The following is a 15,960-nucleotide window of genomic DNA, read 5'->3' on the forward strand; positions in this document are numbered from 1 at the left end:
TTTGTTTTTTTTTTTCTCATAATTGCCTTGTAAAGTAGGTTAAATAAAGGTGTGGACAAAAGTTATCTGAAAAAGAACTTGGAGGAAAGACTTTATTCTGGTGAACAGTTTGCAAATTAGGAAGACCACAGTCTTCTGTGTAAAAGGAAGATGTTTCTAGGGAACAAAGAGAGGGTTCAGATTTTTTTTTTTTTTTTTTTTTTTTTGAGACGGAGTCTCGCTCTGTCCCCCAGGCTGGAGTGCAGTGGTGCAATCTGGGCTCACTGTAAGCTCCGCCTCCCGGGTTCATGCCATTCTCCTGCCTCAACCTCCCGAGTAGCTGGGACTACAGGTGCCCGCCAGCATGCCCCGCTAATTTTTTTGTATTTTTTTAGTACAGACTGTGTTTCACCATGTTAGCCAGGGTGGTCTCGATCTCCTGACCTCGTGATCCACCTGCCTTGGCCTCCCAAAGTGCTGGGATTACAGGCATGAGCCACCATGCCCAGCCAGAGAGTTCAGATCTTATAGCAAAAGTTTCTACCCAGGTTTCCAGTGAGATCTGTTTATGCAAATGAAAGATTGACACTTGTTTAGTTCTGATTGGTCAATAAGCTGAGATCTGATTGGTTGAGGCAGTTAAGCTGTGATTGATTGGTTGGTTCAGGTGAGCACTGAAAAGTCTCAAAGTTAAAAACGTACAGTTTTCCAGGGTTTTCGGGCAACTCAAAGAATATGTGTAACCTCTACTCACCAAATGGCCACTTGGCTCTATTTTAAATTTAGGCCCAGTTAGCTACTTGGGATCCATCATGAAGGACTGGCTCTTTCAGGTTCACATTTGTTCACCAAGTGATGAACCTCATTTTTGAGTGTGGAGATTGGAACTTAGGGAAGTGATTTGTAACTTTGCTCCAGCTTGAGACTTGGCTTGGAAATAACCTCCAAGGCCTGGAATACCAGCATTGACAGCCTTACCTGGGTGCACCTCAGGAGTATGCTCAAAGAGGTGAGGCTATTAGGTGGTGAACTGCTGATGAGAACCCCGTGCTAACAAGACAGAGGTGATGCATACAATCCCTTTAGACACCAGTTAGCTCAGCCCTGGTCTCTAATTTAGTCAAATCCAAATAAGTATTTTTACATGTATATTTTTCTAATTAGCTCTCACTCTTTTAGCTGAAGTCCAGAGATAAAAGACACATGCTTAAGATTTCTTCTACCTTAGTAAAACTAGGTCTAGTATTTTCCCAGCACCTGGAGAAGAGATCTGTACAGAATTAAAAAAAAAAAATACCTGACAAAGTAAAACTGATATCAAGATGGGCAGGGTGTTACATTAATCTGGGGTGGAAGGCATGTTTGACAGGAGTAAATATTAAAGAAAGAAGTTAATATGTCATATTTTTAAATTATTTTATTTGAATTTTTATTAAAGTGCTTTCTATATTTTTAAGGTTTGAGCAGTATGGAGGAGAAAGGTACATATATATAGATATATATGTAATTTTTCTATGAATATTTTTAAAGAACTCTATCACTAAGTTCATATGTCTTGCATGTATTGGGAAAATGGGTAGTTGTAGAGGGTAGGTGGCTTGCTGTGGCCTAATTTGATATTGCAGATATAACCTTGTAAGTTTAGATTTACTAAAATTAAGAAAGTTTAAAATGTAAGGACAGGCACAGGAAAAATCAATGTGATTCTTATATTTATTATGAACAATTAGATATTTATGTAAACTAAAATAGTATCTCTAGATTATTTTTGGAGAAAGTCCTGCCACTCCCATGCTTTAAAGACCATTTTTTTTATTAATTAAATAAATTATTTCTTGCAGTGAGAAAGGAGTTTGGAGACAGAAAGACGGAAGAGTTGATATTCCGCTCACAGATGTCAATTTTCAAAGAAATTTCTGCCCATTATGGATGCACCACAAATACTAAAGTCTATGCAATATATATTTTGAAAAGAATTTTTTTCGTGAAACTGTAATTTTCGTTCATAAGAGTATATTTCCTGACTTAGCATTTTATTGACTAGATTAAAATTTTGTTCCCCAAAGTAAGTGTGTGTGTGTGTGTGTGTGTGTGTGTGCACGCACACGTGTGTGTGCATTCCTGAGGATTATTCTAAGGCTGAACTCCTTCATAGAAATGGAATTTTTCTCTCTATGCTCACATTTTAAAACAGCTCACACAAGCCAGGCAGAAACTGCCAACCCCTTGGTTTCTAATTCTTTGTGCTAGTTCTATTAGAAGGGGCAAGTGTAATCTGACAATGGGAAACAATACACCCTTTCTCATATTCTTTATCAACATACATAAACTGGAAGAAAGAAAAAGAAAGAGAGGGGTACAGAGGGAGGAAAGGAGGAAGAAAAAAGATAGGAGGGGAAGTAGGAAGAGAGGAGAAGGGGACTGTAGTGGGGGAAAGAGAGGAGAGACAGAATCTTTCCACTAAAGTTAGCATCTGAGAGAGAGGCCCACGGAATTGATTTTTTTTTTTTTATCCCTTTGGCAAACCAGCATTTGGTCTTTGCTTTGGTTATCCTGAGATAGTGCTTTGTTTACCTGAGCTAGCTGGCCATCTCAGCTGTGACAATTTAAAATTAGGCCACTATTTATAATTCAAGCTATGTGTAAACAAAACAAAACACAATACAACCAATGAAGGAGGTTTGTTTGTTTGTTTTTTTAAAAGGTAGGGGCATTTTGTAAATCAGACAGAGATAGCTTTCTTGAATAAAATGACATTTTTAGTTATTTCTTTGTCTTGAACTTTCTCCTGAGACACCTTCTGGCTCACTAGTCACGAGGAACTGAAGAGGAACTGAAGGAATTCTAAACATCCCCAAAGCCTCTAGTGATTCTCCAGATGTGTCTTTTCAAGAGGCTGGCGACTTGTAGGGAGGGTGGATATACCTTAATTATTCAGTCACTTTTAACGTTTTACCTAAACTATTTGTCAAATAAGTAGTTTTTGCATTGCTTTAACTGTATACAGCCATCATTTGATTATACATTCTATCAAAGATTGATTGCCTGATTTCAGGTTTAATTTTAAGATTTAAATGACTGACTCCTTAGCTTGCTCAGTTGTATTCTTTGTCTCTGATTACTTACTCCATAGAACACTGCTTACCTTTAAATAAAATGTATTAAACTCCTTTGTTTTCAGAATCTCTAATATTCATGCCTATTGGGGATTCATACCCTAATAACTTGGGCTACTAGTCTGTCATAAAATATAAACTCCAGCCATATTAAATATGGTAGACTTGCCCTAAAAGTCAGATTTATACCTTCAATATACCATGGAATTTGTAATACAAATAAATTCCTTTTTTTATATTGGTTTTAAAATAAGAAATTGTAGTCTCTTGAGTTCTAGAGTTTCTGTAAGAACAACAGAAGGAATGCTCAGCTAATGTTTAGTACCCATATGCTTCATTAAAGTGACCAGATGTCCTGCATTTGTCAAGGGAAAAGGGGAATTGTTTTCTTCTCTCTCAAATATCTCCTTCAAAAAGTCTATCATGGATACATTTTGTGCCTTCACTGCCCTTTTTAAATAATTATTATTCATGCCTTACTATAAGAACATTACAACTGGTAACAAACTGCTTTTAAACTTGGGGTTTCAGATTTTCTAAAGCCAAAAATTTATTGTGTTTGTTGTTTTTTTTTGTAGTTCTGTAGTTTAGTATTACAAAAATTTATATCAGAATTCTCATCCTGCCTACATAGTCCTAAAACTAAATTTATAATGTAAAGCAGGCATGATCCTGTTTATTTTTTTAAACGCTGAGTTCCAACACACATTTTAAATCTCAGTAAAATGTGGCTTCTTTTCTCAGTAAATACTGTCAGGAAAAATTGTCCAAACCTTGGAAATGGAAGAAGAGATTATGGAGCATCCTTTAAATGAAGTGCTATGTTTTGTCTGTTGAATTTTTCAAGGTTTATCAGATTCTGAAGAGGTGTGCTCCTTTGAGTGACTTCCTATTGACAAGGTTAAATGTCTCAAACCTTTTAGTCTCAGGACCCCTTTACACTCTCAAAACTTTTTGAGGGTCCTAAAGACTTTTGTTTATGTGCATTTTATCTATTGATATTTATCATACTATAAATTAATGCTAAGCAATTAAAATATTACACATATATGTGTTAATTTATTTTAAATAACAATAATAATTCCATTGCCTATTAGCATGGGACACTGGCTTATTTTTATAAAAAATAATTTTTATTTCGAAATAAAATTTTCAGGTGAAGAGTGATGTTGTCTTTACAATTTTGCAAGTTTCTTTAACATCTGGCTTGATAGAAGGGAGTGGATTATCGTGTCTACTTCAGCCTTCAATTGGTTGCACTCTGTTATTTTGGTGGAAGTATATATAAAATGTCTGGTACCACACAGTTATGTATGGAGTTGGAAAAAGGAGGAATATTTTAACACCCCTTTCCTATAATTTTGGATGTTTTTCTTTGATATTACACCAAAAGTTGGCAAGTGGTAGTTTCTTAAAGGTTAGTTGCAATGGGGAATCTGAAGCCATATTGATAAGCTTTAAAACTATTCCTTTTGAATCTGTTGGCTTATCTTGCACATTAAATGGGCCATTTATCTATGTCAAATTATGTAACATTATTTAATGGTCATATAGAAATTATTGGTTTATGGATATATGCAGATTTTCTAAATGTTCACACGTTTGATTGCCCAATATTAAAATATCAAATCTGTCTATATTACAACCAATTCCATTAGACATTTTTGCAGATTAGATGTTCTAAAGGAAAGGTTCATTTATTGTTGTTTGGAGAATAACTTTAAAATGCTCATGACATTAGACCCAGGGATCTTATTGAAATATATTTTCTTAAAGAGATAATTGCACAAGTGTATTAGTCCATTCTTAAACTGACATAAAGAACTACATGACACTGGGTAATTTATAAAGAAAAGAAGCTTAATCAGCTCATGGTTCCATGGGCTATACAGGCTTCTGTTTCTGGAGAGGCCTCAGGAAACTTACAATCATGGCAGAAGGTGAAGCACATCTTCACATGGCTGGCAAGAGAGAGCAAGCAAAGGGGGAAGTGCTACACACTTTTAAACAACCAGATCTCATGAAAACTCACTCACTGTGACAAAAACAGCAAGGGGGGAAGTCCACCCACATGATCCAATCACCTCCTACCAGGCCCGTCCTCCAACATTGAGAATTATAAATTGACATGAGATTTGGGTGGGGACACAGAGTCAAGCCATATCATTCTGTCCCTGGCCTGTCCCAAATCTTATGTTCTTCTCACATTTCAAAACACAATTATGCCTTCCCAGTTATCCCCCAAAGTCTTAACTCACTCCAGCATTAACTCAAAAGTCCAAGTCCAACATCTCCTCTGAGACAAGGCAAGTCCCTTCTGCCTATAAGCCTGTAAAATAAAAATCAAGACATCCGAGACACAATGGGGGTACAAGCATTGGGTAATTGTTCCTATTCCAAAAGGGAAAAATTGGCCAAAACAGAGGGGATACAGGCCCCATGAAAGTCTGAAACCCAGGAGGGCAGTCATTAAATCTCAAAGTACCAAAATAATTTCTTTTGACTCCATGTCTCATGTCCAGGTCACACTGATGCAAGGGCATTGGGGATAGGGTCCCAAGGTCTTGGGCAGCTCCACCCCTGTGGCTCTGCAGGGTACAGCCCTTGTGGCTGCTTTCTCAGGCTGGCATTGAGTGCCTGCAGCTTTTCTAGGCTCACTGTGCAAGCCATTGGTGGATCTACCATTCTGGGTCTGAAGGACAATGTCCCTTTTCTCACAGCTCCACTAGGCAATGACCCAGTGGAGACTCTGTGTGGGGGCTCAAACCCCACATATCCCCTCCACACTGCCCCTAGTAGAGGTTCTCCATTTGGGGTTTACCCCTGCAGCAGACTTTTGTATGGACATCCAGGCATTTCTGTACATCCTCTGAAATCTAGGTGAAGGCTCCCTAAGCTCAACTCCTGTCTTCTGGGCACCTGCAGGCCTAACACCACGTGGAAGCTGCCAAGGCTTGGGGCTTGGACACTATGAAGCAACAGCCCAAGTTGTACCTTGGCCCCTTTTAACCAAGGCTGGAGTGGGAGCAGCTGGGAGGCAGGGTGCTGTGTACTGAGGTTGCACAGAACAGCGGGGCCCTGGGCCTGGCCCAGGAAACCAGTTTTCCCTCCTAGGCCTCCAGGCCTGTGATGGGAGAGGCTGCCACAAAGATCTCTGAAATGCCTTGGAGGCATTGTCCCTTTTGTCTTGACTATTAACATTTGGCTTATCTTTACTTTTGCAAATGTCTTTAGCTGGCTTGATTTCCTCCCCTGAAAATGTTTTGTTTTTTTTCTACTACATAGGCTGCAAATTTTCCAAACTTTTATGCTCTGCTTCCCTTTTAAATATAAGTTCCAATTTCAGGTTATTTCTTTGTTTATGCAGATGAATGTAGACTTTTAAAAGCAGCCTTGACACATCTTTCTAAGCATTTGTTGCTTAGCAATTTCTTCTATTAGATACCCTAAATCATTTCTCTCAAGTTCAAAGTTCTACAAATTGCTAGAGCATGGGCACAATGCTGCCAGTCTGTTTACTAAGGCATAGCAGGAGTGACCTTTACTCCAGTTCTGAACAAGTTCCTCATCTCCATCTGAGACATCCTCAGCCAAACATCTCTGTCTATGTCACTATCAGCATTTTGGTCACAACAATTTAACAAGTCTCTAGGAAATTCCAAACTTTCCCTCATCTTTCAGTCTTTTTCTGAGCCCTCCAACCTCTGCCCATTAACCAGTTCCAAAGTTGCTTCCACATTGCCAGATATCTTTATAACAATACTCCACTTCCCCGGTACTGATTTTCTGTATTAGTTCATTCTCGCACTGCTGTAAAGAACTACCTGACACTGGGTAATTTATAAAGAAAAGAGGTTTAATTGGCTCACAGTTCTATGGCCTGTACAGGCTTCTGCTTCTGGAGGGCCTCGGGAAATTTACAATCATGGCAGAAGGTGAAGGGGAAGCAAGCACATCTTCACACGGGCTGCAAGAGTCAGAGAGCAAAATCGGGAGTGCTACACACTTTTAAACAATCAGATCTCATGAGAATTCACTATCATAAGAACAGCAAGAAGGAAGTCCACCCCCATGATTCAGTCACCTCCAACCAGGCCCCTCCTCCAACACTGAGGAATATAATTTGACATGAGATTTGGATGGGAACACAGAGCCAAACCACATCAACAAGTATGTAAAAAGTGTGTGAAATATAAACACAAAGTTATTTTTATAACTGAGAAATATTGGAAATTACCTAGATTTCCCATAGTAGATAACTGATTAAGTGTAGAGATATGGAAAGCAGAGATTATTTTACACATTAAAATACTTTGTGTGTGTGTATATATATATGTACGTGTGTATTTAGTGGCATGAAAAAATATATGCTTCTTGTAGAGTGAAAAATTTTGTTATAAAGTAGCATTATAGTATGATCACAAAGAATTTCTGTGTATGCATATTAGGATAGATAATAGACAGATAGATAGATAATGTTTTAGATAAAGTTTTGAAGAAGATTTGCCACAGTGATAATCACAAACATCTCTGAATTGACATATTTAGGAGATTTTGTTTTTCCTTGTAAGAATTTGATTGTTTAATTTTTTTTTTAGAGAAACATGTATATTTTACAGCCAGGAAAAATAATAAACCATTAGCTTTTTGGAAATGAAAGTCAGTTTTATTTCTAAAATTAGATAAAATAGATGTGTTTTATTTTGATAGCTAAAGTTGGCAAGATTTCAAGGCAGTGTGTAGATTATGTGCTACTTTCTGCTAGTGCAATCTACCTGACAAATAGTTTGGGTTAAAAGCCTTAAAATTTTCATTCTTGATAATTTATCTAGTTTACTTCTACTAATTATTCATATAGGCATACTCAGTGATATATTCAAAGTTTTGTATAAAATGCAAATGTCAAACAATAGAAAATAATTCAAATATATTATAGTGTATCATTTGGTGGAATACCTTGTAGACATTATTGTAGATCACTCATAGATTTTTGCCTGATCGTCTATAGTTGTATGCTGCTGTGATTTGAGAAAGGAAGGAAGTAGAAAGTTGAGAAATGGGGGTCATAAGCCATTTTCCCTCTTTGTTAGGTTCTGTGGGATTTCTTTCTTCTCCATTCCTTCCTTTACTTGTCCCACTTTGATTTCAAGTCTCCACTTATTCTTTGGCCACTATCTTGATTTTTAGTCATCCATGAGTCTAGTTGTTACTTAGAATGATGGGTCCACATGCCTATATTTTTCTTATGGTATTTTACTTCTGAGATTCAGAAATACTGTTTCAGAAAACATTGAAAACAATTATTCTACATTGTAAAGAAGTATGCAAATGAATATGGGTAAGCCAGAGATACTCATAGGTGCCAGGGAATACATTTTTCATTCAGAGAACAGAAAAAAGGAAATTTCTAATGCAGTCATGCCTTACTTCTTGATGGGGATACATTTTGCGTAATGTGTCTTTAGGCAATTTGTCATTGTTTGAACATCACAGAATGTGCTTACACAAACTTAGACTGTATAGCCTACTACACACCTAGGCTAGGTGGTCTAGCCTACTACTCCCAGGCTGTAGTGCATGTTACTGCCCTGAATAGTTTGTGTATCTAAACGTATCTAACGTAGAAAAGGTACAGTAAGAATACAGTATTAGAATCTTATGGATCATGCTCACATATGTGGTCCATTATGAACTGAAATGTTGTTATGAGGTGTATAACCATAGTTTCATGTCTTTTTTATAAAGGATGATGTAAATATCAATTTTCTTTTTATTTGTTTTTTATAAAATTATTAACAGTTGTTTATTTATTTATTTATCTATTTATTTATTTTTTGAGATAGAGTCTTGCTCTGTCACCCAGGCTGTAGTGCAGTGGCACAATCATGGCTCACTGCAACTTCTGCCTCCCAGGTTCAAACGACTCTCCTTCCTCAGCCTCCCGAGTAGCTGGGATTACAGACACCCACCACCATGCCCAGCTAATTTTTGTATTTTTAGTAGAGACGGGGTTTCACCATGTGTTGAGCCAGGCTAGTCCGGAACTCCTGACCTCGAGTAATTTGCCCATCTCAGCCTCCCAAAGTGCTGGGATTACAGGCATGAGCCACTGCACCTGACCTATTATTTGAAAATACATGTCCTAAGTACATTTAAAACAGTTTTGGGAAAAAATTATGTTAAATTTAGGTTTCTGTATACTTGAGAGCAACTAAAGAGCATTAAACTTTGTGATCTAGCAGATACAGATTCTCAATGCTAACAGCTAGAAAAATTTCTCATGAGTAAAATTAAATTGCTGATCTATAGGATCTCTGAGTCTTTTCCCAGTTTCATAGCAAAAGAGATTCCCCAAATTACCTTTATTTATTTATTTTTAAAGTAGAATTCTGAAATCCTAGGTTGAATGAGATATAATAATATGCATATTTTAATATCTAAATTTTGGTTTTTCTAATTAGCAACACATCCATATTGAATTGCTAATGAAAAATTATCAATCTTTAATATTAGCGTGTATTTTTGTACCAGAACCCTACTCTGAAGTTAGCATTGTTAATGCCTTCAGTGAAGTCATAGTTATTTTCTTTGGTTATGCCGACATAGGAGGGAAAAAAACCCAAAAGTCTTATCACATTAAAAAAACCAAATAGAATATAATTTTCATCTAATCATATGAAATGATATTTACTGTCCAAAAACTTTCCTATAACTCTGTTATAAAAAGATATGCTATGTCTGGACAATGTCAAACTCACTTTTCATGCATTCCCATTTCATTACTATGTTCAATGATTAAATCTAAAGAAAATTTTAATAGATCCCTTGCCTAAAGCAAACACAAAGAGCATCAGTGGCAACAATGAGGATGAAAGGAAAATGCTGTAGCTCTCACTAAAGGGCCTAAAAAAACTTCTGCTTTAATTTCTTTAAATCTATGATAATGTTGTGTTGTTTTAAATTATACTCTAAGTTCTAGGGCACATGTGCAGAACGTGCAGGTTTGTTACATAGGTATACGCGTGCCGTGGTGGTTTGCTGTAGCCATCAACTCGTCATCTACATTAGGTATTTCTCCTAATGCTATCCCTCCCCAGCCCCCTCCAGCCCCCGACAGGCCCTGGTGTGTGATGTTCCCCTCCCTGTGTCTATGTGTTCTCATTGTTCAACTCCCACTTATGAGTGAGACCATGCGTTTATTGGTTTTTTTGTTCTTGTGGTATTTTGCTGAGAATGATGGTTTCCAGCATCATCCATGTCCCTGCAAAGGACATGAACTCATCCTTTTTTATAACTGCATAGTATTCCGTGGTGTATATGTGCCACATTTTCTTTATCCAGTCTATCACTGATGGGCATTTTGGTTGGTTCCAAGTCTTTGCTTTAGTGAACAGTGCTGCAATAAACATATGTATGCTTGTGTCTTTGTAGTAGAATGATTTATAATCTTTTCGGTATATACCCAGTAATGGGATTGCTGGGTTAAATGGTATTGAGGAATCACCACACTGTCTTCCACAATGGTTGAACTAATTTACACTCCATCAACAGTGTAAAAGTGTTCCTATTTCTCCACATCATCTCCAGCCTCTGTTGTTTCCTGACTTGATGATTGCCTTTCTAACTGGCATGAGATGGTATCTCATTGTGGTTTTGATTTGCATTTCTCTAGTGACCAGTGATGATGAGCTTTTTTTCATATATTTGTTGGCCACATAAATGTCTTCTTTTGAGAAGTGTCTGTTCATATCCTTTGCCCACTTTTTGATGGGGTTGTTTTTTCTTATAAAGTTGTTTAAGTTCTTTGTAGATTCTGGATATTAGCCCTTTGTCAGATGGATAGATTGTAAAAATTTTCTCCCATTCTGTAGGTTGCCTGTTCGCTCTGATGATAGTTTTTTTTGCTGTGCAGAAGCTTTATAGTTTGATCAGATCGTTGTTGTTTAAGTACTGCCTGTGTAGATGATTTAAAATGATGTGAAAATTCAGGGAAAATTCAAAGGGTTTGGGGCTTGGGTTTATGTGGATTTATCTCCTCTAGTTTTATTTATGTTAAGTTTCACATATGTTCAGAATTTCTAAACAAGGTCTGATATTACTGCCAATATTTGCATGGCTTAGAGTATAAACTATTATCAGCCCTAATGATAACAAAAGCAAAAATTGTGCATTTCTGAATACTAATTGCACACAAAATGCCTAATGACATTTTCACCTTTTAAGAGAGCATGTTTATGGGGTATGAATTTGAACTTACTATTCTAGAAGGCTGGTTTTACAGAATTTTAACCCTAGTAAATTGGAAAGAACTCTAATTTTCTTTCCATCGAAAAATAAGGTCACTCACTATGGATGAAGAAAAAAATTATATACATTATTCATTAATAACATTACATCATACATGTATTTATATGCCCTAAAACAATCTGGATGCTGCTGAGAAAATAATTTTTCCAAAGAGCACATTTTCAAAAAGTGCTTTAATGCATTTTCAAATATAATGCATTCAAAAAAAATGCTTCATATTTTTTCTCTCTAATACATTAGCTTTTATATTTTGCTATCAAATGACTTTGCTTTTTAGGTATACCTATTACAATGTCTTACTAAAAATAATTCATGCAACCAATACAATGTTGGTTAGGGAGCGAGTTTTCATAAGGGATTCATTATACTTACAAAATTATCTTTACAAAATCATTTACATGTAGTGTCTCATTGCTCATCAAAATAACTTGATTGTGCAAATATTATCTGTAGTGACCAGAAAATAAAACTATGACCCAGAGAGATTAATAATTGCTGGTTAAATGGTGAATTTGAAAAAAGCATGCAGTTCTCCTGACTGCTTATTGAGTGTTCTTTTCACTACCACATTGAGGGAGGGGATCATTAACTCACATCCTGGAGGCTATCAAACTGACATGAATCCTTGATCATAATTGACCTAAATTATTCTGATCTACCACTGTTTAAATTAAAATTCAACAAATAATTGCTCAACTTCAATTTTATGCTGACTATAGAGACCTGGCCTTGGAGGGCCTCAAAAAGGAATCTATCTCTCAGAAAATAAAGAAAAGCTTTTATTGGATTGAATTAAAGTGATTAATTTCTTTTTTCTTCTTTAAAGATCTTTTCATTGATTGTGATTTTTAAAAATCCCTTAGGAAATTCCTTATAAATGTATAAAGTTGATTTCATTGTAAAACTCTGTTCTGCTATTTACTTTTTTTTATTCCTTGGAGTGCTTGGAACTTTGTTCCTCTTTATGTCTACTTTCATTTCATCCATGCACCCATGATCTCATGTAGCTTTTCCACCCTTTAATCTTTTTTTCTGCTCGCTTAAGATAGGCTTACTGCGAACATACATTTCAACCTTATGGTGGAGTATTTAAAATTGAAAATTGAAAGAACAGAGGGATATACTTAACATTCTGTCAGTGTTGCTTCTGCCTTTATAAGTTGAGGAAATTTTTATTTTAGTACAATTTTATTTAGTAAAATTTAGCATATATAAGCTGAGAACATTTTTATTTTATTAAAATTTGTAATCAGCCTTTATGCTTTTGACCAATATCTTTTGAGATTTCATTAAGTGTAGAGGCCTGTGCTAAGTGATGGGAATTGAAAGATGTTTAATACCCAGTCTTCCATCTTTAGAAGTCTTGGCTTGAGTAAAGGCTGCCAGTTGAGTATATTGGCATGTTTTTTTTTGACCAATTTTTAGATTTTAACAGAATCTTAATAGGTTTTTTATTTAACCATAACTCTGTGACTCTTACATATCATACAATGGAATTTTATTAGTTAACATTAAATTGGAAGGAAGAAATGAGTTAGATGGAGAGGTTACTAAGCCTTCTTGGTTAATAAAAGTATCCTTAAATAATTCATGGCTTATACGAATCAGTATTGTCAAATGTCGAAGAGCTAGAATTTGGAAAGCCATAATTTATCATGTATTAAAGGAAAAGCACAACTCATTTTCTTACATTACATTTGACTAGCTGAAATTCCTTTTTTTTTTCCTTCCAAAATTGGCTTGAAATTTTTAGGCACTATTCAATATAAAACCTGTCTCTTTTTAGTTCAGAGGAATAATATTTTGCATATATACTTATACATATATATATGTCTGTGTGTGTGTGTGTGTGTGTGTATAAAGCATTTCATACACATGAGCACTAAGACTTTTTCTTTTTTTTCAGTTTAGCTGATTAAAATATTAAAATTTTATCTAGCTGTGGAGTAGGGCTTTTTCCATGATTTCGAAAGCATGGTTACTGAAACAGTGAAACCCTGTATTTTATTGGCAAAGAATTAAAAGATTTTGAATCTTTAATCAAGAATTGTTAAATACTTCAGTTTATAATTGGTTATGAATTAACCAGAATTCTCCACACAAATCTGTCTGCTTGAGTGAAAAGACTGGTTCTCTGCTTACAGTATCCCCTACAGTACAGCCTTCTACTATTCACATGTGACTGTAGTCCAGATGACATGAGAGTGATCTGATCATGTACAGAAACGCTTAAGCATTGTTGGCATAAATCCACTCGGAGTTGCTGGGTTTTCACTTGAAAAGGAGTCTGGAAATGTGATTTAAATGACATTCTATCTTTTCTTCTGCTTGTGTCTTAAAGTCCTTGCCTGTCTCTTGTTGTAGCCAATGTAATGCATAAACTCTTCCAAGGAAGACAAGCAGACAAGCTCAGGGTTTGATTCACCGCCAGTTTTGTTCCAACAGTTGTATGAGTGCCACATTCATGAAGCTAATGCCCCTTTTCTGGCCCTACCACAGGATTCCAAGTTTTCTTTCCAGATGGATGTGCAGCTTCAGCCCCACCAGCAGGCTGGAGTCCTTATCCACTCAACAAAAGAGATGTGTGCTTGACTCTGAAATGTTAGCATGGCATTTCTAACTATGACAATAACAAGAATCATGCAACTGGAGATATACATGGAGAAGTCAACTTGTTTGGTAAATAGTGATATGGATTTTTTTTTTTTTGGTCACTTATCCCAAGAAATAGTATGTCCTATTTTTAATATCAAGAGAATACATTCCTTCATTTAAGCATTCAATCATTTATTTAAAAATTACTTTGCTGAATATGATTCACTATGTTTTTCTCTTAGCTAGGTGCTGGGACTATGGAAACAAATCTTTCATTTCTATGGGCCACGGACTCATAATTAATTTTGAGACAGGTCAGGATGGTATGTCTGAGGATAACAAAGAGGCAAGAGTAACCAATATAGCTCTGGGGGCAGATAACACTGTAGAAACATGGAAAGTTCTGGAAAGTAGGGGAGTTCAGGCTGAACATGGAGGTTTTTGATGTGTGGTTTTTTTTTTTTCTGCGTCTCTCAAAGTGAAAGACATTTTTTCTTTCCCAATTTAAAATTCATTGTTTTTAATCCTCCAAAGATGATCTCTTAATTCTCAGGATAAGGGTCTGATATGTGTGCGTTATTCCCTCTTTTCATATATGAAACAGTTGAGCCTCATAGATTAAACAAGCTTGCTCATGGTCACATGTCTGGTACTTAGAGAAAGAAGAGCTAAAAATACTCTCTTGAAAGTGGTACTGCCCCTTTCGGCAATACTCCCTTGGCACCTATGGCCCTGCCTTTTTCAGCATCTGTCTCCTTTATTTGATGGTGTTTTGGCCTCAAAGTCATAGTATTTCATGACTTAAAGTCAACTCACAATTGATTATCCAATTTGATTTCGGTTGACCCACACACTAAGGCATTATCCCTTGCTTTTGATTGCAGATATTTGACAGAGGAACAAAGTAAAATTATACAAGTAATAATGTTTATTGAACAATGATGGCCAGGCACTACATTTAGTACTTTAGTGGTTTAGCTCACAATAATCTTATGATCAGTTACTTTGTTTCCATTTTACAGAGAAGCAAACGAGTCTTGGAGTAATTAAGTAACTTGCCCAATGTTGCTCAGTTTGCATGTGGAAGAGCTTGGATTTAGCCCAGGCAGCCTGATTCCAGAGCTCAAGAACTTCACCACCATCAAGACACAAGTTTCGTTCCCTCTATGATAGTTCAATAATTAATAAAATATATGATCCAAACTATCTGGAAATAGATGACCCAAACTATCTGAAGAGTCTTTCTGAACTTTTAAACTACAAAATTATTCTGCTGTATAAACATTAAGGAAAGGTAGAAAAGATTTGATACTGGGACACATACTGTGCCTTTTCTCAATTCACCATGTTATATCGGTTTCCTTATATTTAAAACATAAAATGATGTAACAGCTTCTTATTTGTGCACAATACATTGGCATATTAAGGATGACATTTTAGACAGCAAGGCAGAGTACACAGAGGTGTTTAATGTTCTTACATCTCTTCTGCCAACACTGTCTTAAAAGTGCTTTCCCAAAACTATAGTAATATATTGTTCCTATCACTTTGGCTCGCCTTCCAGACTTGGCCAAGAATTAAGATAATCTATCTCATCAACAGATTCAAATGTGTTTGTATTTTCTCTATCTTTGAGGAGCTTCTGAATTGTTCTCTCCAAGTGTTTAGGGAAAAGAGAAAAGATAGGAGACAGAAGAGAAGTAAGAGAATATAAATTCCAGGAGACAGAGAATTAACATTCTCTTTTTTTGATTCATGATTCAGAATAGGGTTCCATGGAGTGTTAAATCAGAGTGTGATTCTGTGGTAGAGAAACATTGTAGTTGGTGTGGTGTATCATAAAATCCTAGAAATGAATGATGAAAGGTATTTCTGGAGAAGTTGGTTATTAGTACAGCAAAAGTTAAGGTATATGCCATATATAGTTCAGGCAGCGACATACTCTTGAATATTGGATTTCTTT

General features: G+C 36.0%; 1 long non-coding RNA gene across 1 annotated transcript in view; it reads left to right on the top strand.

Annotated features, from left to right (window-relative positions):
* Positions 1-2,044, top strand: part of LRIG3-DT (LRIG3 divergent transcript) — a 210,172-nt gene extending 208,128 nt beyond the window's left edge. The window contains exon 6 of the long non-coding RNA NR_183518.1: positions 1,821-2,044. This is a non-coding gene — a long non-coding RNA (LRIG3 divergent transcript). The remainder of the gene's footprint in view (positions 1-1,820) is intronic.
* Positions 2,045-15,960: the final 13,916 nt, after the last annotated feature.

The sequence above is a fragment of the Homo sapiens genome, chromosome 12, assembly GCF_000001405.40.
Source record: "Homo sapiens chromosome 12, GRCh38.p14 Primary Assembly".
Classification (NCBI taxonomy): domain Eukaryota; kingdom Metazoa; phylum Chordata; class Mammalia; order Primates; family Hominidae; genus Homo; species Homo sapiens.